Here is a 24,867-nt window from a genome sequence, read left to right on the forward strand (position 1 = left end):
CAAGGAGACCTGCTACAAGGTGACTGCAGTGATTCAGGCAGAGATTATAGTGGCTGGAGCCAGCATGGCAGCCCCACAAGTGGAGGTGTATTCAGCTTCTAGATATATTTTGAAGGTAGAGCTGTTGAACTTTGCTGGCAGATGTGGTCTGGGGGCAGAGAGAGATAGAAATAAGTCAAGATTTTTGGCCTGTGCAATTGTTAGGATGGGGTTGCTGTTTAGTGAGATGGGGAAAACTGCTAGAGAAGAAGGGTCTGAGCAGGGGATCAAGAAGCATGGAACACTCCAATTATGAATCATAAGCAGGAGCTGATTGAACACATGGCACTAAGTTTAACAAATACCTTGAATTTTGGCTTTGATTTGATTGTGGTTGGAGACAAAGAGCATCCCATGGTTTTGTCCCTTACCTGTGTATGCTGAGGTCAGTGTGCTTCTGTCACCCAGTGTGGATTAGATCCTGTGCTGGTCCTTGACTCAGATTTACTCTTTGCCTTTGTCCTGCTCTGCCCTGTATCACAGATGAGCTGATAACTACAGACTGTGTTTTCTAGGCTCTCTGGTCTGGGGCTTTTGGCTGTGGTGGCTGCTAGGAGGCCCTTGCAAGAGACTAGAGTGTGGGAGGAAGGGGAAAGCCAAGATATTTCTCCTCCTTTCTATACCTCCTGCAGCGTTACTAGCGGGGCCTGAGCATCCTCTGTGGCACCACCTCTCACTGGTCAGGTCCTTTGCGGTTCTGGTATCTCCCCCTTCAGCCCTGGGCTCCAGGAATACCTCCTCCCTTTGAACCTCCTGACTAAGGGATTCTCCAGCTTCACGCAGTTGCTAATTTCTGGGTTGCCATCCTATCCCTGTTTGACTTCTCAGTTGAGTGTCTAGAGTGGTTTCTATTTTCATGGTTGGCTCCCACAGACTAAGACTCCTGTAGCAAAACAAAGAGAGGCTCTGAGGCAATTATTTGGTGCATTAATTATTTCAAGGGAATCTGGGTGCTTCTCTATACTTGCCATGTCTGTGACTTTACTATCCATCTGGGTGAGACAGGCGGTGGGCTTTATATTAATCTAACTTTCATGCATTTTGATTCACTATTCAGGAGCAAAAGGGTTGATAGTAATTTTAGAAGAAAACTCTTTCTATGATGCTTGGATTTCTTCTCTGCTGTTCCACCCCACTTGGATACTCTTAATGAGAAACACATTAATTTCCAAAGTTTGCCATGTTATCTTTCAGTAGTTCTGTTTCAAATTTTAATTTTTTGATAATACTTGATGGTGTACAACTCAACTCAAACTGGCCGAAAGAAGAAAATAGCATTTATTAGAGGTTTCAATTGATCATTCCAGAGGCGATGATTCAGATGAGAACTTACACTGGGCTCAAATAGTGCATCTATCAGTTTTGTTTTATAGTTACACAGCAGATGAGATACACTGATTGGCTTAAGCAAACACATGGCTGGATACAACTGGGAATGGGATCAATCCCGCCCAAACCACATGCCTCAAAAATTCAGAGTGAAATTAGGAAAGGAGAAAGGGAAAATAGGTTCTAGGAAGCACTGCAAAAAAAAAAAAAAAATGTTCACCATGGAAGGCTAGGACAAAAGATCAGACAAGGGTCTGTTGCTATTTCATCCATGTTATTTCATCCAGGATTCTTCAAGGTTTACACTGGATAAATTAAAGTTTACAGGGTGCCTTAACAACTCACAGGGAACCACAACTCCAAAATTTTGCAAGTAAAATGATAGATTCTAAGTATTATAAGGAGGTAAACTTTTCATTTCCAAAACTCTTTGTGCAGCAATGAAACTATTCTTTATTCAATTATAAACCAATAAACAATACATGTAAAGGCATACATGTTTGAAGGAGAAGACAAAAAGAAAGAAGAAGAAAGGATGATTTGATTTAAAAATTTCGGTTTTTGATATAGTAAAAACACATCAGAAAATGAGCCATTCCCCAGAACAATATACAATTAGAACAGAAACTATCACACCCAAATTTGGAAGAAAAGGCTGTCAAAAAAAAAAAAAAAAAAAAACGCATTGAAACTCCACGAGAAATGCAGCCAAAATTTCATTTGACAATTCTGTTGCTTTATTTTATTTTGCAAAATGGTAACTGTGGCAACTGAAATATGCTTTAAAGGTCTATACCACCGTATACACCTCAATTTGTGGCAGGTTGTTTATTTGCTATTCTTTTTCATATAGGCCAATGAGCAGTTACATTGAACAAAGCTTTCCTCCTCCCCCCCTCCTTCCTATTTCTCTTTTTCTTTTGGTTTGGCAGGTGCCTAGATTTTTATTTTTGTGCAGGACAATGAAATGGCAGATGATCTGGTAAAAGCAACAGCAAGAGAAAAATCCCACATACCACTGTAGCTTAAAAAAAAAATGAACAATGATTCACTTAATCCTATTCTTACTATTAAATCATAACTAACTATTTATAAACTTAAGAAGAAAGTATGGAAGTCTTAATGAGTATGGTTGATTGGTATAACAGGGAGTAGAACTAGACAGTATTCCTTATTTTATTTTATTTTGGCATGTGTATTTTTTATCTTTTTTGCCAAAGTAAATGCTTTGCTTTTAAGCCTCAGTAGACTATTGGAGGTTTGAAAGAGCTATTGTTCTGAAAGAGCTTGCCTGTTGAGGTTGCTTTTTATGCTAATCACTTATACTAAATAATTCTGGGATGGCTTTTTTTTAAATTATACTTTTATTAAGCTGACTTGAAAACCACAACTGCAATAACCATAAAAATACACAAAACAGAGATCCACCAAAGCTGTTGTGAGACTCAAGTCCAGGCTGGTTCTATAGCATAATGACTGGGGGAAATGCTTCATTTAGCTACTGTAGTGCAGCAAATATCTGTAGTGGCTAAAACTACATTTATTACTCCTTGTAAGTCTGTGTGTTTGCGGGGTAGATTAACTGATACAGGCTGGGCTTGACCAATCTCAATCTCAATGAGCTTGTTCATGTCCTGTGGTCAGTGGGGGATTGGCTAGTCTAGGATGGTCATGGCTGGGAGATATCATCTTGGCTTCTTGTGGTCTCTTCTCCTTCCAGTTCAGTCTGGATGTGTTCACATGGTGATGGCCGGGTTCCAAGAGAGTAGAAGCATGGAAATTCTCTTGAGGCCTGGAATCTAAACTGGAACATTACCACTTTGACCTCATTCTATTGGCAAACACTATCCGGATTTAAGAGGTGAGAAATGGCTCTCAGTAAGGGGGAAAAACCAACTCCCACTGAATATAGGAGAAAAAAAATTGGGGCCGTTTTTGTATCCATCTATCACAGACAACTCAAGTAAGCTCAGCCTACATGGTAAACACCTTATTTTTAGGGGGGAGAGTAATTTAAAAATAAACATTATGTGTGAAAGAAGTTCCCGTACCCAATTTAGAAACAATCTGGTTTATTAAAATAGAAACATCCCCCCGCAAAAATCCTTTTTTAGTTTTCTCATTTCTACCATTTGTTGACTTTTCCACTAAACGTAGAGGAGAAAGTTTCATCTTTAACTTCCTTTTTTTTTTTTTTAATGCTTGGATTACTTTGGCCTTAGCTTATCGATATATCACTGTAGAGTTTAGGCTTTTAATACCGTGAAAATTTTTTCTATTCTTCCAAGTTTGTTTTTAGGTATCTTAAAGTTAATTGCGATCCATAGCAGAGCACATGAACTTGTTTTGTGTAAAAAAGTATGATTTACTTATTCACTTCTTAAAGAAATACCAGTTGAGTGAGTGCCTCCTGGGTATCAGAAGCTGGGCTGGGTGCTCAGGATACAGTGGACACAAGACAGACACTATCCCTGCTTTCACAGAGCTTACATTCCACTGGGGCAATGGACAAGAAGTAAGCAAACAATGACTGATTGTGTTAAATGCCAAGAAGGATGTAACAGGGCATTGGAGGGATGGATTGAGGGAGAGCTTCCTTTAAACAGATAGCTTCACTTCCGTTTACAAGAGAGAGAAGGGGGTGAAAATGAATCAGAGGCCATCTTAAGAAAAAGAAGTCACCTGTGCAAAGGACCAGGGGAAGAGAGTTTCACAGGAGAACTGACTTTGATGAGGCCTCATGACACCTCCATGGAGTGTTTTAGGACAGAAGCCCAGTGTAGCAGGCACTGTCATGGCTCTGCCCATATCCCTTCAGATTTATTAGCATCTGGTATCTTTCCCTCCCAGTGGCAGCATCTGCATTGCCTTGTTGGAGAGCTGCCTTCAGAGTGCCAGAATTCACTTTGCCTGCAAATCCTGAGAGTTAGAAGCTTTCGGAATGTATATCCCTCAGGGAAGCCCCTTCCCAATGACTGATGGGTGTGGAGGTACAAATTCTCCATCTCCCTTGCTCCCAGTGAGGGTCACCTTCCCAGAGATTCTCTGTGGAATTGAGCTGAAGATGTCCTCTTTGGGACTTTGCTTGATTTTTCATCTCAGTTGGTTTCCTTCCCTTTCTGGTTCCACTTCCTCGTTCCCCTATTGTTTTTTTCTGGAAGCTTTCCACATAAATGACTCTTACATGAATTTTTGTCACTGGAAATGATTCTGGGATACCAAACCCTGGGCAGTTAATAACACAGGAGCATAGTGAGCAAAGAAGGAGGCAGGAGATATGCTTTCAGAGCAGACAGATCAGGCAAGGTTTTGCAGCCCTCAGGGCAAGCATCAGAAAGACATGACCTAACTTTCTTTTAAAAAAGATCGGCCAGGTGCGATGATTCACCCCTGTAATCCCAGCACTTTGGGAGGCCTAGGAGGGCAGATCACCTGAGGTCAGGAGTTCAAGACCAGCCTGGCCAACATGGCAAAAACCCCATCTCTACTAAAAAATACAAAAATTAGCCAGGCGTGGTGGCAGGCACCTGTAATTCCAGCTACTCAGGAGGCTGAGGCAGGGAGAATTGCTTGAACCTGGGAGTTGGAAGTTGTAGTGAGCCAAGATCACGCCACTGCACTCCAGCCTGGGGGATGTCATCTTGGGGAAAAAAAAAAAAAACAAAAAGGAAAAAAAAAAATCATGGTTTGCCAGAGTGGCAATAACTGGAGAGAGAATTGGTTGGAGACAGGCCAGTTATCTTTCCCTGTGCTGACATCTCTACCAATTTCTTTTTATCTTTTCAAGTAGAAAATGATCTACTTCTTGGCTATGTCTCAAAGATGGTGTGAAGGTAAAACAATGATTTCCATAAACTTCTTAGAGCTCTCTGGAAAAGAAATGCCCAATAAAAGCTGAGATTATTATTGATGAAAATAAAAGTAAAAATAGCAATGCAACTTATAACCAGCATCTGGAGAATTTTCATACATTAATGGAAATATTAAGTGTTATATTAAAGACTAGAACAACTGTTTCTAGGTTTCTCTTTTGTTCCTACTATTGCTGCTCCTTTGAGTGTTTATAGAACCAAAATAGCTGATGCAAATATTTGTGCCCCAACCTGGTTCTCCCTGGAGTACAGATGAGGGTCTTTTGAAAAATGGCAGTAGTGAAAGCAACATTTCTGGTTTTCTTCTTGGAAGGAGGAGAAAGGATAGCTTATTCTGAAATTAAGCAACAACAACAACAAACTGTTATGTAAATGGAGATAAAACTGTTGTTGAAAAATATTGGCTTATATTCTAGATAAATACATACGCCCACATAATCCCATACAGGGCAAATAAGTATGTGTGTCTCTGTGTGTGTGATGTGTGCATGCATGCATGCATGCTTGGTAGACTTTATCTGCTCACTGAATACTTTTTCCAACCCAATGTATGGAAAGTGACAGATGGATCAGCAATGGCTGAGAAGCAGTTACACATATCTGGCCAGCATGGTTTTGATTGTATGTTGGGTTGTCAGCCAGCTACACACCAGAACTATTATTTTAGGCGGCTGGAAGAGAATTATTCAATGTCAATGGGAAGAGAGAGATACAGAAAATGAAATAGACACTCTGTGTTTTCAATAAGGCATCAGTTTGTTTGAAGCCACATCTAACTGTCTGAATTCATATGAGAACTTACTAAAAGCAATGCACTTTAGTATTCAGGCTCAATTGTTATTCAATTGTTCTATATCTGAGTTTTCTACAAAATCTCATAGCTGAAATAATATGTGATAAATGATGGTCTTGGGATTGTATGTCCTCATCTTCCAATAACCCTGTAAATTCTTCTTATCTCTATGGTTTTCTGAACCACACAAAAGGTATAATCTCAGAAGCAGTAGAAAATGATTGACCTCTTGAATGTCAGAAGAACAATTATTTAGGCTTAGCGCCTGAAAAGACACATACCCTCCAGGCGCAGTGGCTCACGCATGTAATCCCAGCATTTGGAGGCTGAGGGGGGCGGATCACCTGAGGTCAGGAGTTAGAGACCAGCCTGGTCAACATGGTGAAACACTGTCTCTACTAATAACAGAAAATTAGCCAGGTGTGGCGGCACGTGCCTGTAATCCCAGCCACTCCAGAGGCTGAGGCAGGAGAATCATTTCACAGGAACCTGGTACGCAGAGGTTGCCGTGAGGCTGAGATTGCACCACTGCACTCCAGCCTGGTGACACAGCCAGACTCCGTCTCAAAAAAAAAAAAAAAAAAGATACATACCTCAGTGAGACCAGCAAGTCAAAGAGGTCTGTGGGAAAAACGTGGAAATGTTTGCATTTCTACTTCTGCATATTCTGATACTTTGCCGTATGTGCTTTAAAATACTTATGCTTGACAAAAGATGTCAAAATTATCCCAATCTAGTGCAGTCTAGACTCTACCATGATGAGGATATTGTATTAAGTCACTTGCTTTTTGTTTTTTTTTCAGTCTCCAGATTGAATAGGCAGACTGCCCAAATCTCCCTTTCTTTCATTTTTTCACTCTCTCTGTCAGAAGAAGGGGGCATTATAGGACAGTATTATTAGGCTAGATCTTTGCCTTGTTTTAGTGTCTTATCCACTGGCCCCTTCATAGGGTTGGGAAATGGTTTCATAAGATAGTAGAAAGGGTGGCATAGGTACTTGCAGTATGGCTAACAGTTGTTCACCATGTAGCTTTAGATATCTTAGACCCAGTTCCCAGCTGTGTCTGCCTTAGTCACTCTGGTCCTCGTCTTCCTCAGTATCTCCTCTATGAGGTGGGCATCCATGCAATTCACTCCAATTGCTTGTACATTCTTACATTAAGTTTTGGGGGATCACTTCTTCTTTTAAATGTTTAGTTTTTTAAAAAAAATTACACAATATAATGTTTCCACTGTAGAAAAACATGTTTTAGAATATGTTAAGTGCTTAATAAATATGGTTTGAATGAATGAATGAATTGAAAATAACAAGAAAATATAATACAAAAGAAGAAGAAATTAAGGACTAGTCGTAAACCATCTCTCAGTGATGCAAACCAGCACCTTAGTTATCCTCCTAGATATTTTCTGCAATTTTAAAAGTGAAAATGAGATCATTTGGTCTTTACTGTTTTGTTACATGCTTGCTCTCCTAGATGAACATCCTTTCACTATACGTAGTTTTTGTTTGTTTGTTGACACAGGGTCTCACTTTGTCACCCAGGCAGGAGTGCAGTGGTGCAAACACGGCTCACTGCAACCTCAGCCTCCTGGGCTCAAGCAATTCTCCTGCCTCAGCCCCCCAAGTAGCTAGGACTTTAAGCACGTGCCACCACACCTGGCTAATTTTTGTATTTTTCTGTAGAGACAGGGTTTCGCCATGATGCCTAGGCTGGTCTGGAGCTCCTGAACTCAAGTGATCCACCTGCCTCAGCCTCCCAAAGTGCGGGGATTACAGGCATAAGCCACCGCACCCTGCCCATAATAGATAGTCTTATGCATCATACATTTAATGGCTACATAATAATCCATTTTATAGAATATTACCATAAATTCTTTAAGTTCCTATTATTTAACATTGACAATAACAATGTCACTGTTTGACATTTCTATTGTGTATTTCCAGTTTTTTCCCTTTGTAAATAATAAGGTAAAAAACATCCTTGATGTTGTTTAATTTTTGCACACAATTTTAGTTATTTTGTTAGGATAAATTCCCAGAAATGAAGAATTTGGGCCACATAATATGTGTATTTTAATACCTATTGACAAATCATCCAGGGAAGAGTCCCTTTGCCTGATCCCTAAGGTTGATCCGTTTGCTACTGGAACTCTGAATCAAAATCTACTTCAGAGAGTCTAGGCCCTTAGTTAGGACCTGTGACTTGTACAGCAGATTATTATCAATATGTATTTACTGAACCGAGTAATTTGAATAGCCCTTTCTTATGGCTTCAGTTCTTTCTCATGAACTGAATTCCCTTGTGCAACTAAGAAACAAATAAACAGGAATAACCCCATGTTATCTCTGAATCCTTAAATGAAGATCAATTCATTTATCTAGGCCAGTGGTTAGCAAACTATATAGCTCATAGTTCAAATACAGCCTGTTTTTATATGGCTCAGGATCTAAGAAGTATTCTTACCAAATTTGTAAATAGTTGAAAAGGGATCAAAAGATGAATAATATTTCTGAAGTGAAAATTATATAAAACTTAATTTCAGAGTTCATAAATAAAGTTTTATTGGAATACAGCCAGCCATTTATTTATGTCTTATCTATTGCTATTTTGCACTAAAATGGCACAGGTAAGTAGTTGTGACCATAAAGTCTGCAAAAACTAAAATATCTACTGTTTGGCCCTTTACAGGAAAAGCTTGCTGAACCCTGATCTAGACATTAGCTAACCCAAGCCAAGTAATGCTAAACCCTAGAAAAATGAAATCTGCAATGATTTTGTCACTAAATTAGCACTCTTAGAGAGCTGCAATTAATAGCACTTCCAGTGTGTATGGATGAGATCTCATCAATTTTCTTTTGTCTTTGATTTGACCTGCACTGTCCCATAGGTGAGAAAATCTAACAGCTTAAACCCTGGCTCCACCAAGTAGTCAGGCAAGGGGTTTTCACTGTAAGCATTGACAATTTCCCAAGTTCACAGTTTTAGTATCATTGATACCAAGTCCTGAGGGCATGCTTTGGCTAGTGTGGCTGAGGAGATGAAGTATGGCTCCCTTATTAACTTGTCAAAGTGTGGTGCAGCTGCATCATTTGCTCACCCATTTGCTTAACTTAAATAAAGGTTGGTGGTTAGGCTTCTGTTGCATTGTGCTCTCCTGCTAATTATCAGTGTATTTGTTTTAGAGACAATTAGCCACCTGGTTCATTCTCTCATTGAAGTCAGGTCATCATGAGTTACATCTGCTTTCAGGCCTCCTCAAGTCCAAGACATAATAAAAAGATGATGGCTATGATTATAAAAAGCGTGTGGGGTTGGGCATCAATGGTACAGCATATTGAATTCCCAAGGAGGATTGAGTTGCATCATTGTACTCACAGAATCTCCTCTCTGCCAGTCACAAAAGAAGATTGTGAATGAAGAACTCTTGTGTAGAGCCAGAAAACCTTTAGCAAGTGAGAAGAGTATTTACAAAGGTAGACACTAATAATGGCAAAGCAAAGTGAGATGTGATTCCTCCCTGGGGCACTGTGCTGATACAACAAAAAAGTGACAAGTAAGCACGTCTTAGTGCATGCAGAATTTGCATAAAACTGAAGTTGTTCAGACCTGTGGGTGTTGCCTTTTTAAAAAATGTGCCCGATAATGTGACATAATATTATGCATAGTACACATTTGCTTTTATAACCCCATATGCTCTGGCAAAACTTAGCATTTTGGAGCTAAGACTTTATTATGCTAGGTCCTCACTGAATCACATTGATGGTGGAGACACTTTTTGCAGATTTCTGAATTTCGGGAGCTAAGGGTCTATGACATTACCTGATTAGATGGGATGTTGTGTTCTGAGGATGTTACTTGACCACAGAAAGGGAAATCAGAAGTTTAGTGTAATTAATCGAGGATGGTTTTTTGTTTGTTTGTTTGTTTGCTGTGGAAGGCCTGGACCTGGATTCAATAAAGTGAGAGTGAGTGTTAAACAATTCACTTTGGTCACCTTAATACTAGTCAAGTGGAGACTTTAATACCAGTCAAGTGGAGTATTAAATAATTCACTTTGCCTACCCTAATACTAGTCAAGTGAGGTTCAATGTTGGGCAAAAATTAAGTGTTTGTAGAAGTTACAGTAACAAGTCAACTTGGCACACTCCAAAAACCTTTCACTCTGTGCACTAAGGTAGAATGTAACAGTGAATGCATGGTTCAATCTCAAAATTAGCAGGTAGCTTAAGCCCCACAAGAAATTCCAACTTACATAAAACTCAAACCATCCACCAAGCTCTAGAGATTATGGCACTCTCCATAAAGGTACAGTGGATTATTTACAACATATCATCCAGCTTGAATCAGTCAAGACAACATAAGCAGAAAGCTAAATTGGAACTCTAAAATTGGGTTTCCCAAAGTGAATCCTGGCAGAACATTGGTTCTGTGGGATGTTATGTTGAAAATGAGATTCTGTGTCCTCTTAATTTTGGGAAGCAGGGGGTTTAGCTAAGTTAACGAAATTAAAAGTTTATGTAGGGCTTCTAGGAGCTTTTAATATGCTAATGAGCTTTGTAAAATGCAGTGTTTCCCAAATTTTTAGTCCACAGCACCCCTTTTTCCTGAGCATCTGGCCAGAAGAGTGGTTGGACAAAGCTTTGTTGAGAAACTTGCACCAAAGTGTTTGCTCTATCTTAGAGCCTTAGTAAAATTCCAAGTAGATTGGAAGTAGAGTGCAAGTGAGTGCAAGTAGATCATTGTGGGCAGAGGGCTTATAAAGTTGGGCAGGCAGTCTGGCAATAGTTCCAGTTCACCTACTTATTGTCCTTTCCTTCTCTGTATCTTATCAGGGTTTGGGCTATTCTTACTACAGGTCTGATATCTGAGCATAAATAATCCCACTTTACATTTTTTAAAAATTGCTGCCTTGTGGAGACTCCGGCTATAATTTGAAATGGCAAGAAATAATTTAGCTAATTGAACTGAGAAGAAGACCCACAACTTCTGATCACCTGCATAAAATCCATTAGTCTGAAGAAAAATTGTGTAGTACAAAAGGTGGACAAATGAGTACAACTGGGTGGGATTGCCCTAATTTACTAATGCAGGAGAAAGTAATTCAGCCTGATTGTACATCACTGATGATGGCATGTTGAGTCTTACTATTTGAAAATTTTTGCCAGTTATATGATAAAGTGTGGAACATAAATAATATGGATCAAGTTAGAACACAGGCCCACGAAGGTTACTGTTTTACACACATTGATTCATAATACCGGCATTTTAGAGAAAGGAGTCTTGGGACAGCGGCTCCGTACAAATGCATTTCTGTTGTCTAGGGCTATTTTCGTGTTGTGCTTTTCTGCAGACTTTCACAAGGCTGTTGTAAACTTAATCCTGTTTAGCAATTATGATTTACTTCAATTGGCTCCACTCATTAAGCTGTTTAAACTTAGATTTAAAGAATAATATCCACTTTGTTCCTTTACACAACTTTGGGGGGAAAATAAAACATTCAAAATGGGATTCTTGGCAGAGAACAATCGATGTAAGACTCTAAAGCTTACTGTACCTTTAATACATATATTTTTCTTCTTTAAGGACTTTGAGTGAGAACCACAAAGCCCATACTGTTTTTAAGGGAGAGGGAGAATGGCTCCTGATAAAAGCCAATTACAGACTGAATATATGCTATTTATTTAGACTTGAGAAAATGTGTATCTTGAAAAAAATGTTTATATAATCATATATCAGCACCCTCAGGGTTTTAAACCTATTAAAAGCAGCTAAGGAAAAACCAAAAGCATGTCATTCATGGAAGCTTGATAGTGCATGAAAGAAAGAGACAAACAGTGGTTTTGTCTCCTTGGCAAGGCATGCTATTGAAGTGCATATAGTTGGAGAAGGCTGATTCTAAGGTTGCTAAATGGGTGTAGTTTGGGATTCAGTGTCTGTGTTAGGACATGGCTCTTGGGCAAGATGCTGTCTTTGAACACTTATTCTTCAAGCCTATCACCTTACACCCTGCTGAGCCTCATCTCCTCAGGACATAATTACATAACTTTCACATGTTGGTAATGGTGGAATGAGCTATTTAGGAATGACTTGAAGGAAATATATTACATTCATGAATTTTTCAGGTGTGTGTTTTAATCAAAACCAGAAAGTTTCAACATGCTGAACTCAATACACTACAGAGTACTAGGCAATATGCTTGGGATGATATTTGCATTTGCATATGAAGAAGTAAGGGGAAAAACCCCTTAAGTCTCTGAAAGTGCATGTATTTGTGGGAAATCACAGGGCAATGAGGAAATTTTCAAGAAAAACAAAGTAGAAATAATTTTCTTTCCATGGCAGATGATGTCATTAAATTCAGAACTGTACAACTGGTTAAAATTCCTTTTTGCTTTAGTTGCTGAGATATTTACATTAAACTTGATAGTCATTTGTATTTTTGGAATAGTGATTGTTATCTTTATTGTATACGATTTTTTAGCTTTTTATTTGTATTTCACACTCCAACTGTGTGGTGCTTTAAAAAAAAAAAAAAAACAACAGACTTTACAAATATTTTACTTTTAAAAATGTAGCTGGCATAGACAATTACAACTTAAAACCCATGCCCCAAGCAAAAATTACAAACAAAATCAAAAGATAGCAATGTTCCTTGGTAGATGCTTCTGTGTGGCCTTTTTCATTATTATGTGGCATTTTCTGACAAGATTTTAAAACTCTAAAAATGCGTCGTCTCTACAGTGAAGACACCTTTGGAGCTGATTATGGTTATTACCCATAACTTACTCTCCTCACTTTGAACCGAATTTTCCCTCTTTTAGTCCAGTCCATCTAATTTTAAAGGTAGGTTCAAGTTAATGAAGCACCTTTTCTTCCTCCATTTAGTCCTCTGAAAACTTCCATCTCCCACAGAAGTTCTAGCAGTGAAGCAGTTGCTGGCTGGGACTTCAGGGCCCTTGGGCACACTCCCAGCCATCAATCTTGTCATAGACAAACCTGAAAATGCCCAGTCCTAGAAAAGGTAGCCTTATTCCACAGTGTCCACATAGCTTTACGTGTATATGTGTGTGTATGTATATATATATATAACAGAAGGCTGTAGGAAGGCAGCGGGAGTGGGAATCATAAAAAATCGGCCAGAGGAAAACCAATGAAAATGAATAATCCACACTGAGATGCAAAATACCAGATGTTTTAATGTGGGACTCCCAGAGAACAGAACCAATTCAGTATTAAACACTACATTATAAAATAACTATTTTAAAAATAGAAAAAAATATTAAGGATTGTCTTAACTGCTGAACAGCTCACTTTTTGTCCCCGATAAATGTCTAATACATCTCCTTCTATTTCCAGTTATTTTACAGCATAGTTATCAAAAGTCCTCTGACCTTCACAGAGAACCCCGAGTGAGTTCGTTGTGTCCCCTTACTGTTGAGAGTGATTCTCTGAGGTTCTTGATGTGTATCGTCAGCTTTACCATAAAGCGACTCTCACTGCTGTCCTGTCCAGTGACTTTAAGATATTCTCACTTCTTACCTACCAGTTCCTCAGTGGAAGGCTTACCTCTTTGTCAGTTGTGGTGGTCATGGCTTTTCCCCCTGGAGTCCTTACAGTAACAACCCCCAGAAGGCAGAATCCTGCTCTGGTGTTATACGTCTTTTCTCTTCCCCACCACACCACCCCCAGCATAGGGCATTTTCCTGTAAAGGGTCTTGAGTCTTTCTGGGAAGTAGCTGGGGAATGAGAGTATAAAATAATGCTGAGGGTCATGTTCAGGCAGCATGGCTTAGAGATTAGATTACAGACATTGAAACCACATATCCTAGACTTAAATTCCGGGTTGCTATTTGCTAACAATGTAATCCTATCCAAGTCACTTCATCTAGCAAGCCTTAGTTTCCTTATCTGCCAAATGGGGGTAATAAGGGTGACACCCACCCTACTGTTGTAGGGGTAATAAATTACACTGTGTAAAACATTTAGCACAGTACCTTGCAAATGTTAAGTGCTAAATAAATTTTCGCTGCTATTGTGATCATTGACACTCAGGAATAAGACAGCAATGTAAGAGTTGTTTTATTGTCCTGAACAAAGGTACAGCCTTCAGTCACATACACGTGTACAGCACACACATTCACACAATGATTAGGGAGCACTGCAAAGCAATGTACTTGAATGGAAAGCTATGAAAATTAATGTGATTTTTAAGGAAAAGGACATTAGTGTAGAATGGCATAGAGAAAACTTAATTGCAAAACTGAGACTTCAGCTGGGCCGTAGATGACAAGGAGAGTTTAATAGGTTGACAGAGCAGAAAAATCCATTCTGGTATCAGGCTTGTGGGAATGAGCATGGGGTATGTAGGGCACTTGAGAAACTTGGCCAAAAGGACCAGATGTCTTATGTTGAGGAGTGCGTCATGGTTAACACATAGGAGATGCTCCAGAGACACTTGTGGATGAAGGAAGGAAAGTGTTTTAGATTTGTAGGATGAGACAAGATGACGGAGGGACTTGAGTGTAAAATGAGGTGTTTGAGCCCAATGTACAGCAAAATGCAATATGTGAAAGTGACAATTTAGGGATGTTGTTCTAAAGACGTCAGCATGATAGACTGAAAAAAAACAAAAGAACCTAGAGGAAGGAAGAACAGGTATGAAGGTACAATGGTAATAAGGTTTCCAAGAACCGAACATCTACTGGGGTCTGGCAGTGAGAATAGATAGGGGGAATATCAAGAAGACAAAGGAAAATAGATCTCCCCCCAGTCACTCTCTATCCCTTTATTCTGTTTTATTGCCTTCAAAACACTTCTACAATTTGTAAGTCCTTTGTTGATTTATGTATTTACTTGTTTACTATCCATCTCCTACTCTGGAATGTAAACTCTAGAGAGAAGAGATTGTACTGCTCCTAGAATATTACCAGACTTGTAAGTTGTGTCAGATGAATATAAGACAGGCAGGAAACACTTTTAAGCTATCGGTAGTCATAGGATTGCAAAGGAGACTGACAAAGCAAAGAAACTGGGACAAGCTTATTGGGATAAAATGATGACAGCATATATGCATCTACTCATCTTTTCAACAATAATAGTTATTTAGTGGTTATGTAGAAGCCATGCAGACCAGTTATTAAAGTCCAGACTCTGACACTGGATGTCATCTGTTTGAGCCCCAGGCTCTACCACTTTCTACCCGTGAAGGGTCTTTGGGGAAGAAACTCTCTGAGTCTTAATTTTTCTCATCTGTACAATGGGGATAATACACAGACTAATGTGAAAACTGAGATATGTGTGCTAAACTCCTGGTACAGTGGGTGGCACTACTAAGGAATCAATAAATGATAGCTGTTGTTATTACCATGCATTGGGCACTGTCCCAACGTGTGAGGTGGCAGTGAGACAAGCCAATGGAAATATTCTAGAAGCCATCGGACATACAAGTCTGGTGTTCAAATATGCTTTTATTTCATTTCCTGTTGACTTGGATTGCTACTATTGGCCATATAACAGTGGAAGAAAGCAGTCTCCAAATCTATTTCAGATATATCTTCTGTAAGGGACTCACAATAACAAAGAAAATTACTATCAAGAAACATGACTGGCTTCTGTTTCTAAGTTTCTTCCTAAGAATTAAATGTTTCTTCCTGAGGGGTAGGGGTTAGGGAGGGGTATAGAAAGAAGACCTGATAGCTCTTCTAGAAGGAATAACGAAAGAAGTTGGAAACAGCTTTTCTTTTCCTCTTGTAATTAAAAATAAGGCTAGAAAATACTTGGCAAAATAATTTTAAAGACGAGTCAAATACTAATTGATGTTTTTTAGCTGATTAAAAAATTCAGGTTCAGTATTTATATTTCAGGTACTGCGTTATACAGATTCTTCAAAATGGGTCAGTAGCTGTGCAAGACAGCAGGAAAACTAAAAAATACAGTTCCAAATATCTTGTAGAATAATAAAATATAGTCATTTTAACAACCTAGGATACTTTTTTTTTACTATCAAAAAGATTTTTTAAGGTATTACTAATATCAAAGAACAAAGGGAGCTTTACTGCCTATGGTAATTCTTGTTCAATGTCTTGCTAATTATTTTTAGAGTAAACTTCAATAAACAGGGAATAGATTAACTGGAACCATAGCAATAGGATGTTGAAACCCAAAAGGAACTTGGAGATAATTTTAATCATATTATTCTGCAGATAATGAAGCCCAGAGACTAAAAGGGATTTTCTCAGGCCACACAGCTTCTTGGAGGCAGAACTTGGACTAGAATCCAAGTTTCTTGATTCCTAACCTGGATTCCTTTCCCCTTCACCAGGTTGGTGGCCTGTGGTAAAGGGGCAAATGTCCAAATAGGGGACACATTTAAATAGTCAGGCAAATGACCATCAAACTTCCATGATGATTCCCAGGATCTGCATTTATCCAATCTAGTTGTGTTCATCCTAATTCCAACATAGCTCCTGGACATATCCTAGTGACTTTAGGCCCAGAATGGGCTCTTTATCTCAACAGATGATACCATCATCTACTCTGTTGGCTAAGCAGGAACCTGAGCATCATGATTTCTTTCTCCTCCAGGAACCAACTGTTCAATAATGGTTGTCTTCCCCCTTTATGTAACCCGTGAATCCTTCTACCTCTCTCCATCTCCACTCCCTCCACTCTAGAAGAAGCCACCATCATCTCTCACCAGCAATACTGCTGCAGCCTCTCACATATCCCTCTTCCCTCCTTGTCCTCTCCACCCTCCCTTCATTGTTATTCATCACATATGGCGAGGAGGATTACTCTAAAATCAAATCTATTGTTCATGTCATGGTCTTCATATACGATCCCTACTGCCTTGAAGATAAAATATAAACTCCCTTCACTTGAAAGACAAGATGCTGCAAAAACTGGCCCCTGATTATCTCCCCAGCCTCATTTATTCCTTTATTCTCTCCTCAACGTGCTGTTCCTTACGCCAAGTTTATGCTCTAACCATTCTAAACTTTGACCTTTTTTTTTTTTCAGATGTAGTAAGTTCTCCTATGCCATTCTCTCTGCCTTGGATACTTTCCCCTGTATCTTCACCTGGTTAATTTCTAATTATCTTTTAGGTCTTCGATTAGATATTACTTCTTCTGAACAATCTTCCTTGATGACCCAGCTACTTTACATCTCTGGATGGAATCCTCCTCTTTGCTCTAATGGTAAGTGGTATGTTCACATTATAGCACTTATCACATCTTTTTGTAATTGTCTAAGTTTTGTTATCTCATTAGCCTATTAGCTCCATATGAGATAGAAATTATGTCCAACTTCTGTGTGGGCACTCCACCACCTATTGCGGTTCCTGGTATGTAACTACAAATAGTTGGTGAACGAATGAATGAATGAGGTCTTTTTAATTTTCTCAAATTCCTCATAGAGTTAAGAGAGATTGAGTTGAGTTGAGGATGGATGGGAAACGATATGGACAGAAATATCCAAGAATGGAGTCAGGGAGGAGGCAGAATATCTTTTGTTTCCTCCCTGTTTGGAATTCTAGTGAAGAACAGTGTCAGGGACATAAAAGAGAATAGGATGCTAGGTTACGTTTCTGTTTATAGTTCTATCAAATAAGACTGAAATCAATAGGATCTCCTTGTTAGAAAATCCTTACCCTATACTAGTATAATGTGTTTATGTATGTTTAAAATTTTTCATAATAAAAAGTTTAAAAAATTTATTCCTTTGACTTTAATTCCAAAAAATCAGACAGGTGATGATTTGTGTAAAGGGCAAATGCTTATTTAATTGGTAAATGGGTATTGGTGGGTGTGGGCATGGGTGAAGCAAAACTTTTTAATTGGATAACTTTATATGGATGACTTTTAATGGTGTTCTGAGTGGTTGATGGTCAGGTAACATATATGGAGAGGAAGAACTTAACATTAGTTTAAATTGTAATCATTTTCTGTTAAGAAATGGGATGACAATCTTTGTTATCTGGTTATTTTTAGTGCTTATCTGTGTGTATTTTAACAAAGTGAAAACAAAATTAGTATATGATGATACACATCTTTAACATGCGAATTCATTTTTTAACAATTATTTTTGAACTTCTGAAAACAAGCTAGAAACACTGTTTACGTGGGTTATTGCTACACGAAAATCACATTGTAGACTCAGTTCCCTTAAGAATTTTGTTAAGCTATTTTCTGAACACAGAACAAAGATCTTAATAGTTTTTAGCCGAGTTATTTGGATATTTGACTGTCATTACTTAAACAAATTGACCAAATTTATGTGTAAGTTTACAAGCATGTATTTTACATAGCTTCTATAGTATCTTTTAAGTTTCTTAGCTTTCACAGTTTTTTATTTACTACATGGCTAAAATCATTTGCAACCAACACTGCTTTATTGAATGCAGTTTTTCACCAGGGCACACACTCTCTTCATATTCCGGCCAAAACGTGTTCGTGGAAATAAAGATTCTCTTTTAAGACAGAAGACAAAGTCCAACTCCATTTGTTTGTTGTGAAGCCAATATGGTTTATCCTGGCCATTTTGGTTGGAGCCCAAGTATATCTGACTCATAGTTTGGTCTTTTATTCTGGCAATTTACCTCATTTTTCATAATTTACCTAGGGCTGTCAAGAACAATTGTTATCTTCCCCGAGAGACTAGTAAATACTCCTTTAAGCCAATGGATTTATAGGAGGTGGAATCCAAAGATTCAGTTCATTTGGGCAGATTCATCAAATACTTCCTAAATACAAGGCATGGCATACGGTGTTTTCAGGGATGCAAAGAGAATAATTCTTGACCTGAAGGAATTTGCAGTCAAGTTATATACCAAAAGGGAAAATGTGCACAAACAAAATTGTTTGTGAGGATATAGTCTGCAAGAGACAAAACCCGTCTACTCAACTTACATTAAAGGAACATGTGATTGCACCCAAAACTAACCGTGAGAGGCTTTTTTATAGAGTGACTGGAAATAAATGTTTGTGTTACTACTTTTTATGCTCCATCAGAGAACAGATACTGTGATAGACATTTTTTATAACTTGCTCCAGAGAAAGCAAGCAACAGAGGTTGCTGTGCCAACCTCACACATTTGCTTTAGAAACGAGTACAATCTGGACGAAAGCAGTTTCTAGCTTATCAGGTCACAGGAGTTTAGACAAACCAGGATTCTGGAGGAATAGTGTATGAGTGTTGGGCCATTGACTTAGGGTTGTCATATAAAGTCTCAAATTAACGGAAGTTGAAGCTGCTGCCCTGTCTCAGTGGGACTAAAAATATCAGCTGTATTATTGGTTTTAGCAAAATGCAATCTGAATTTTAACATTTATTTTTTGGTTTATTATTTTCATGTTGTTTTGTTTAAAATTTATTCTCTTTGGAATAATAAGCTATTTTTAAGGACTTAATGCAGTATAGATTATAGCAGTGTTGACTTCCAACTAAATAATTTAGAAGAGGAAGAAAATAGTAAAAGAGTTATATATCTAAATTTAAATCTAAACTTAATCTGTGTCTATATCTGTATGTATTTATTTATATATTCATTAATTTATATTTGATATGAAACTTACAACCATGGGCATTTTTAAAATATAGAATTTCCCTTTGTATGCAGATTTACAGCAAAGAAGTATAAGAATATTTTGATTAAATATGCCCTCTGAGTTCTTAGTTTTTAAGTACAACAGTAAATTTATACTCAATTTGGAAGAAAGCAGAAATTTTCCATTGATTACTTAAGGTTGGTAATAACACCCAGAAATGGTAGTGTGAAAGGCTGATTTATTACCATGGCCTCACTGTGGCAAAGGATAATTCCCCATCCCTAGATTCTGGACTTGATCATGTTTTAGCCAAAGAAAGGTTAGTGTATATGATATAAGTGGAGACTTTGCACATGCTTCCATGGTTAGGTTTGCCTTTTTGCACTTTGAGATCCCCAGGAAGGACAACCTGCCTCATATAACATGCTGCTGTTTCAGCCTGGGTCTCAAATTGAGAGGTGTTGAGCTGACCACATGCCCCTGGCAACTGCTAATCCAAGGAACATAAAAGACACGTGGATTAGATCTGAACCTACCCTGGAGACTGGAGCCTGGACTCCAACCTCGCTTAGCCAAGTGGCAGCTAGCATGCTGCTGATGAATGTGAGAATAAATGATTGTTTCTTCAAGTTCATGAATTTTAGGGTGGTTTGTTAGTTTGTTATTAAACATTGTTGCAGCAACAACTGACTAATACAGGTCATCTACAGATATTTTTTTTCTAACTCTATGCAGACATATGTAAGTATGAAAATTTCCTCAAATATTCCTTTTCTTAGATGTCTCCAACATAATTTGCAATGTTACCTGGGCGTTTAGTGGTTTTAACTAAGAATGTCTTTTCTCTGCATTGGAAGAACTGAATTGGTGAAATGGGCATTCTGAGTGACTTCTAGATATAATATGTATTACGTTCTGTCTCCAAAAGATATAAATGCTGACTATAAATTGTGCAGTTGGAATTTGGGAATTGAATACTTACAGGAATTCTGAGATGTAGAAAGTAAATTATGTGTGAAGCTAGCAGTTTTCAAAAATGCTATGCTGCTTTTAAAATTTCTTCTCTTGAGTTTGAGTAAACTTTTTACTTATAGCTTTCTAATTTTCCAAGTAGGAAAAAATCATATCACAAAGAATGCAAGTGTGAGGAGCAGTTAGTTCCAAACTGCCTGCTGCTTTTCAGCTAGGATTGTGTGTAGTTTATGTCAAAACACTTCAGCAAAGAAATACAAATACAGACTAATGTTTGACTTCTTTTGTTGTGTTGAACTGGAGCCAGCAAAAGTATTTATATATAAATCCACTTGTGAAATGCATAACCCTCTCAATGTGACTTATATGTTTAAGGCTTAAAGAGAATTCAGGTTGATTGACAGAAACTACTGCTCTTACAACGTCAAAATGTAGACTCTGCTTATGCAGAAACTTTTAAATTCATTCTTTTTACTGAGGATGTTTATCTTCTAATTAAGTGCTATTGCATTAGCAAGGAACATTTATTTGCCCTACTATGTGTATTGTAAAGCATAAACCTTGAATATACCCATCCTCATTCTTGTCTTTATAAACTTGAGGAAAACAAATCCCCCCAAACCCCAAGTGTATGCCTAAAATATCTACTTAGACATTGCCTCAGGGCAAAATAGATGGCTTTGCCATTTTAAACACTTGAACATAATGCAGGTATAAAAGAGAGCCCTGTCACATGGAGTCAGATATTTTCCTCCTCTCTTTAACAGTAATACTCTACAAAACCCTGTTTTTGTCTCCTTAATTCTGTGAGGAACTAAGACATGCTTTTTGAAGCTCTGATTTAGAAGAGCTTCTGTGGATAAAGCTAATATGAAAGAGCACTGGCACATCAAATGTCTTAAAGACCATGTAGGAATGCCATGTCTCCATTTTTCAAAAGCCGCATCCTCCTATTTTGTTGAACTCTATTACCTTGTTTAAATTTTTATTGCATTCCCACATAGTGTTATGCATAACTATATAAGAAATGCCACAACGGATTAGGCCAATGGTCCGTCTTGCCTGCCTCTGAGGGACATTTTGCAGGGAGCTAAGGTTGTCTTTCTTGATGTTACTCTGAAAACATTAGGAATTGGCTGCACATAGTTCTTACATCCCCCTCCTTTAATATTCCATTATAGAACCAGCATCTGAGAATTTTCCTAAGCCTTTTAAAATTTATTTATAGTTTCACCCTTTGTTATACTTTTGGGACAATAAGATCACTGTTTGATTTGAATAAAAAAACTGCTTTCCTCAAGTTTCAAAAGTTGGTTCCTGTGGCCTAGCATTTTGAGGTTTGATCCACAAGTCCGTTTACAAAATTCCCATCTTCATGATTTCCTGGAATTCAGTTATATAGTAGGCTGCTTCTAAACTGGTTCCTAGTGATCTCTAAATCCTGGTATTTATAAGCCTTTGTGTAAATTCCTTTCTTGTGCTTGGGCTGGACCCAATGACTTGCTTCTAATGAATAGAATATGGCAAAAATGATGAAATATCAATGTCAAGATTAGGTAATAAAAGACTGCGACTTTCACCATGCTTGTACTGTCTCTCTTGGACTCCTTTCACATGCCTTCTCTGCAATAGCAAACTACCACATTGTGAACTGTCCTACTGAGGGGTCCAAATGGCAGGGACATAGGGTAGCCTCTCGCCAATGGCCAGTGAGGAACTAAGGTCCTCAGTCCAACAATCCTTGAGAAACTGGGTCCTGCCAGCAGTTACATTGAGCTTGGAAACCGATCCTCCCCTAGTTGAACTTTCAGATGAGGCAATAGACCCAGCTGATACCTTGATTGCAGCTTTGTAGGAGACTCTGAAGGGAAGTTGAAGATTACTGGGGACAGTTTTAGAAACAGTTTACCACATAACTAAACAGGAACTATGCAGCCCCTTGTCTCACTTTATTTGGGTTATGTCTTTGAGATTGTCCTGCCATAAGACCTTAACAGTTTGTCATATTGGCCTTCCAAAAATATTTTTATCTTGGCAATTCTAAGGTACATTTCCCCTCTCAGATCATTAATGTGCCTTTTGAAAAAGTTAAGCATGATCATAGCAGATTTTGATGTAGTGGATGTATCACTTAGTTATTTCTGTGTAGCAGACCACCTTAAAACAGTGGCTTCAAACAATAACTATTTAGCTCCCGCTTCTATGGGTTGGCCCTTTAGGCTGCACTCAGCTGGGCAGTTCTAATCTCACCTGTACCCTTTCATGCATCTGCCATCAGCTGCCGGTCAGCTAGGAGGCTTTGCTGATCTTGGAGAAACTTTCTCACATCTCTAGGCCTCAGCTGGGATTAATTAGCTGACTCAGTTATGTTCCATGTGATGATGATCCAGCAGGCTATCCCAGGTTTGCCTGCATGGCAATGGCAGAGCCCCAAGAAAATGAACAGAAGCAAGGTCTCTTGGGTCCTAGGCTTAGAACTGAAACACCTGTCACTTTCATCACATTTCATTGGCCATAGCAAGTCATGAGGCCAGCCCAGATTCATTGGATGGGGAAACAGATTCTACCTCTTGCTGGGAGGAAATACAAAGTTAATTGTGAAGAATATGAAGACAGGGGAATGAATAACTGTGACTTTGTTTTTTTCAATCTGCCAGTGGCCATGATTTACACAGTATCCTCCCATTATAGCACAGAGTGTTGTTACACTAAGTGGTACTAACAGGTACCAATGTTGGATTCTCATCCCAATTTTATAGCTTGCCATCTGTGTGACTCTCTGCCTCAGTTTACTTATCTGTAGAGTGAGACTGTTAATATGGCCTATCTTATAGGATCATTGTGACTAGTGAATTAATACATTTAAGAATCTTAGGCCTGGTGAGTGCTCAAAAATTGATAGCTATTATCGAGATTATGTTGTAACAATTATTTGTTTTCATGTTTTTTATTTTTCTAGAGCTAGATTCACTGAGAGAGGGGACCTTAATGCATTAAATTCTTCATCAAAAATGATTAAACATCAATTATATGCTAGGAGCTAGGAGCTGGAGCATGAATGACCCCAGTAGGACATAAACTCATAATCGTGTTATTTTCAACACCATAGGTTTTTATTTCAGATCTACCTTCCTCAAACTCCTGCTTTGACTCTTTTAGTTTTTATTTCTTTCTGTTTTTGTTCTTGTTGCTTAAATCTTTGGAATATTTTCAAACATTTTTGGTGATCTCAATTATATTCACTGGTTATCCTGCATATATGTCTCTTTTCGCTATTCCAGCCTTGAAAATTATTGTAGATTAGTAAGGCTTTGACTTCTGTTTGTGTTTTTTTCCAAGGACTCTGTTTATTCCCTTTGCTCTGAGTTTGTGGTAAAAAACTGAATACATTTGGGAAAGCTAAAGTTCATTAGGTCAAATGGTGGCATCATTCATCTGTTTCTTCTTTTGGCAAATGGAGGTAGTGAGTACCCAGAGTTGTTAGAAGGATTATTCCAGTCTTTTTAGGCAGGGAGCAGAGCTCCTTGGTACCTTGTTTTTTGCATTTGCCAATTGGCTCTGCCCTACTTGCTTATAGGATTATAGTAAAATGCAGATTAAAGAACAGAAACAAAAGAAATTAGAAAATGTCTTAATAATATCTATAATGGGAATAATAACACTTATTAAGGAACAAGAGTAGTTAGACCAGTGGAGGTTAGAAATTGGCAAAGACCCAATAAATTCTAGGGACTAAAAGGAGCTTGTATTGGCCTAAAGATTTTTGAAAAATAAGTATAAAATTTTACTTAATATAATGACTCCATTCCTTTTCCATCTTTCCCAACTTTTATCTTCTGCTTCTTGAATCTAAATCAAGGCTGAACATGAAAGCTTCTGTATGATGTACAATTACTGTTGTAGTAACTATAAAATGTTGCATGTACTTAATTTTCGTAAGTACAATGTGTTCTGCTTCACTTTTATTTTACTCTATTAGGTATGCAGCCTATTTGCCAGGGTGAGTTATCTCCTCTTAGAGTTTGGTTATATACCTAGTCTATTTTGTAAACACAATTTCCATTAAAAATGAATTACTTTTCTTCAGAGCTTATTGATGGGCTGACACATCGCTAAATTTCTTTTCTGAGCCAAGATTTGTCACCTTGATCAAAAGTTGGCAAAATGCAGTTTGTGATCTTTCGAAAGGTACAAGTGGTGGGTGCCCTACAAAAGGTTTTTTTAGTAGCACACTTGCCCTTGATTTTTGTCTTTAAAGCAATTAAGCAGCAGGAACAAAGAAATAGCAACTCTGCACTATGATTCCTCATATA

General features: G+C 38.2%; 1 long non-coding RNA gene across 1 annotated transcript in view, besides 1 other annotated feature; it reads left to right on the forward strand.

Annotated features, from left to right (window-relative positions):
* Positions 1 to 24,867, forward strand: part of BALR6 (B-cell acute lymphoblastic leukemia associated long RNA 6) — a 306,371-nt gene that overhangs the window by 61,757 nt on the left and 219,747 nt on the right. Inside the window, exon 4 of the long non-coding RNA NR_161333.1 lies at positions 17,141 to 17,233. This is a non-coding gene — a long non-coding RNA (B-cell acute lymphoblastic leukemia associated long RNA 6). The remainder of the gene's footprint in view (positions 1 to 17,140; positions 17,234 to 24,867) is intronic.
* Positions 22,871 to 23,044: a silencer, noted in NCBI's record as "fragment chr3:18088671-18088844 (GRCh37/hg19 assembly coordinates)". NCBI's record gives its function as "represses an EF-1alpha promoter that drives an FKBP-Casp9 reporter gene in an ReSE screen in phorbol 12-myristate 13-acetate-treated (for megakaryocytic differentiation) K562 erythroleukemia cells {active_cell/tissue: K562(+PMA)}" and the evidence as "EXISTENCE:reporter gene assay evidence [ECO:0000049][PMID:32094911]".

This window comes from Homo sapiens, chromosome 3 (assembly GCF_000001405.40).
Source record: "Homo sapiens chromosome 3, GRCh38.p14 Primary Assembly".
Taxonomy (NCBI): Eukaryota; Metazoa; Chordata; class Mammalia; order Primates; family Hominidae; genus Homo; species Homo sapiens.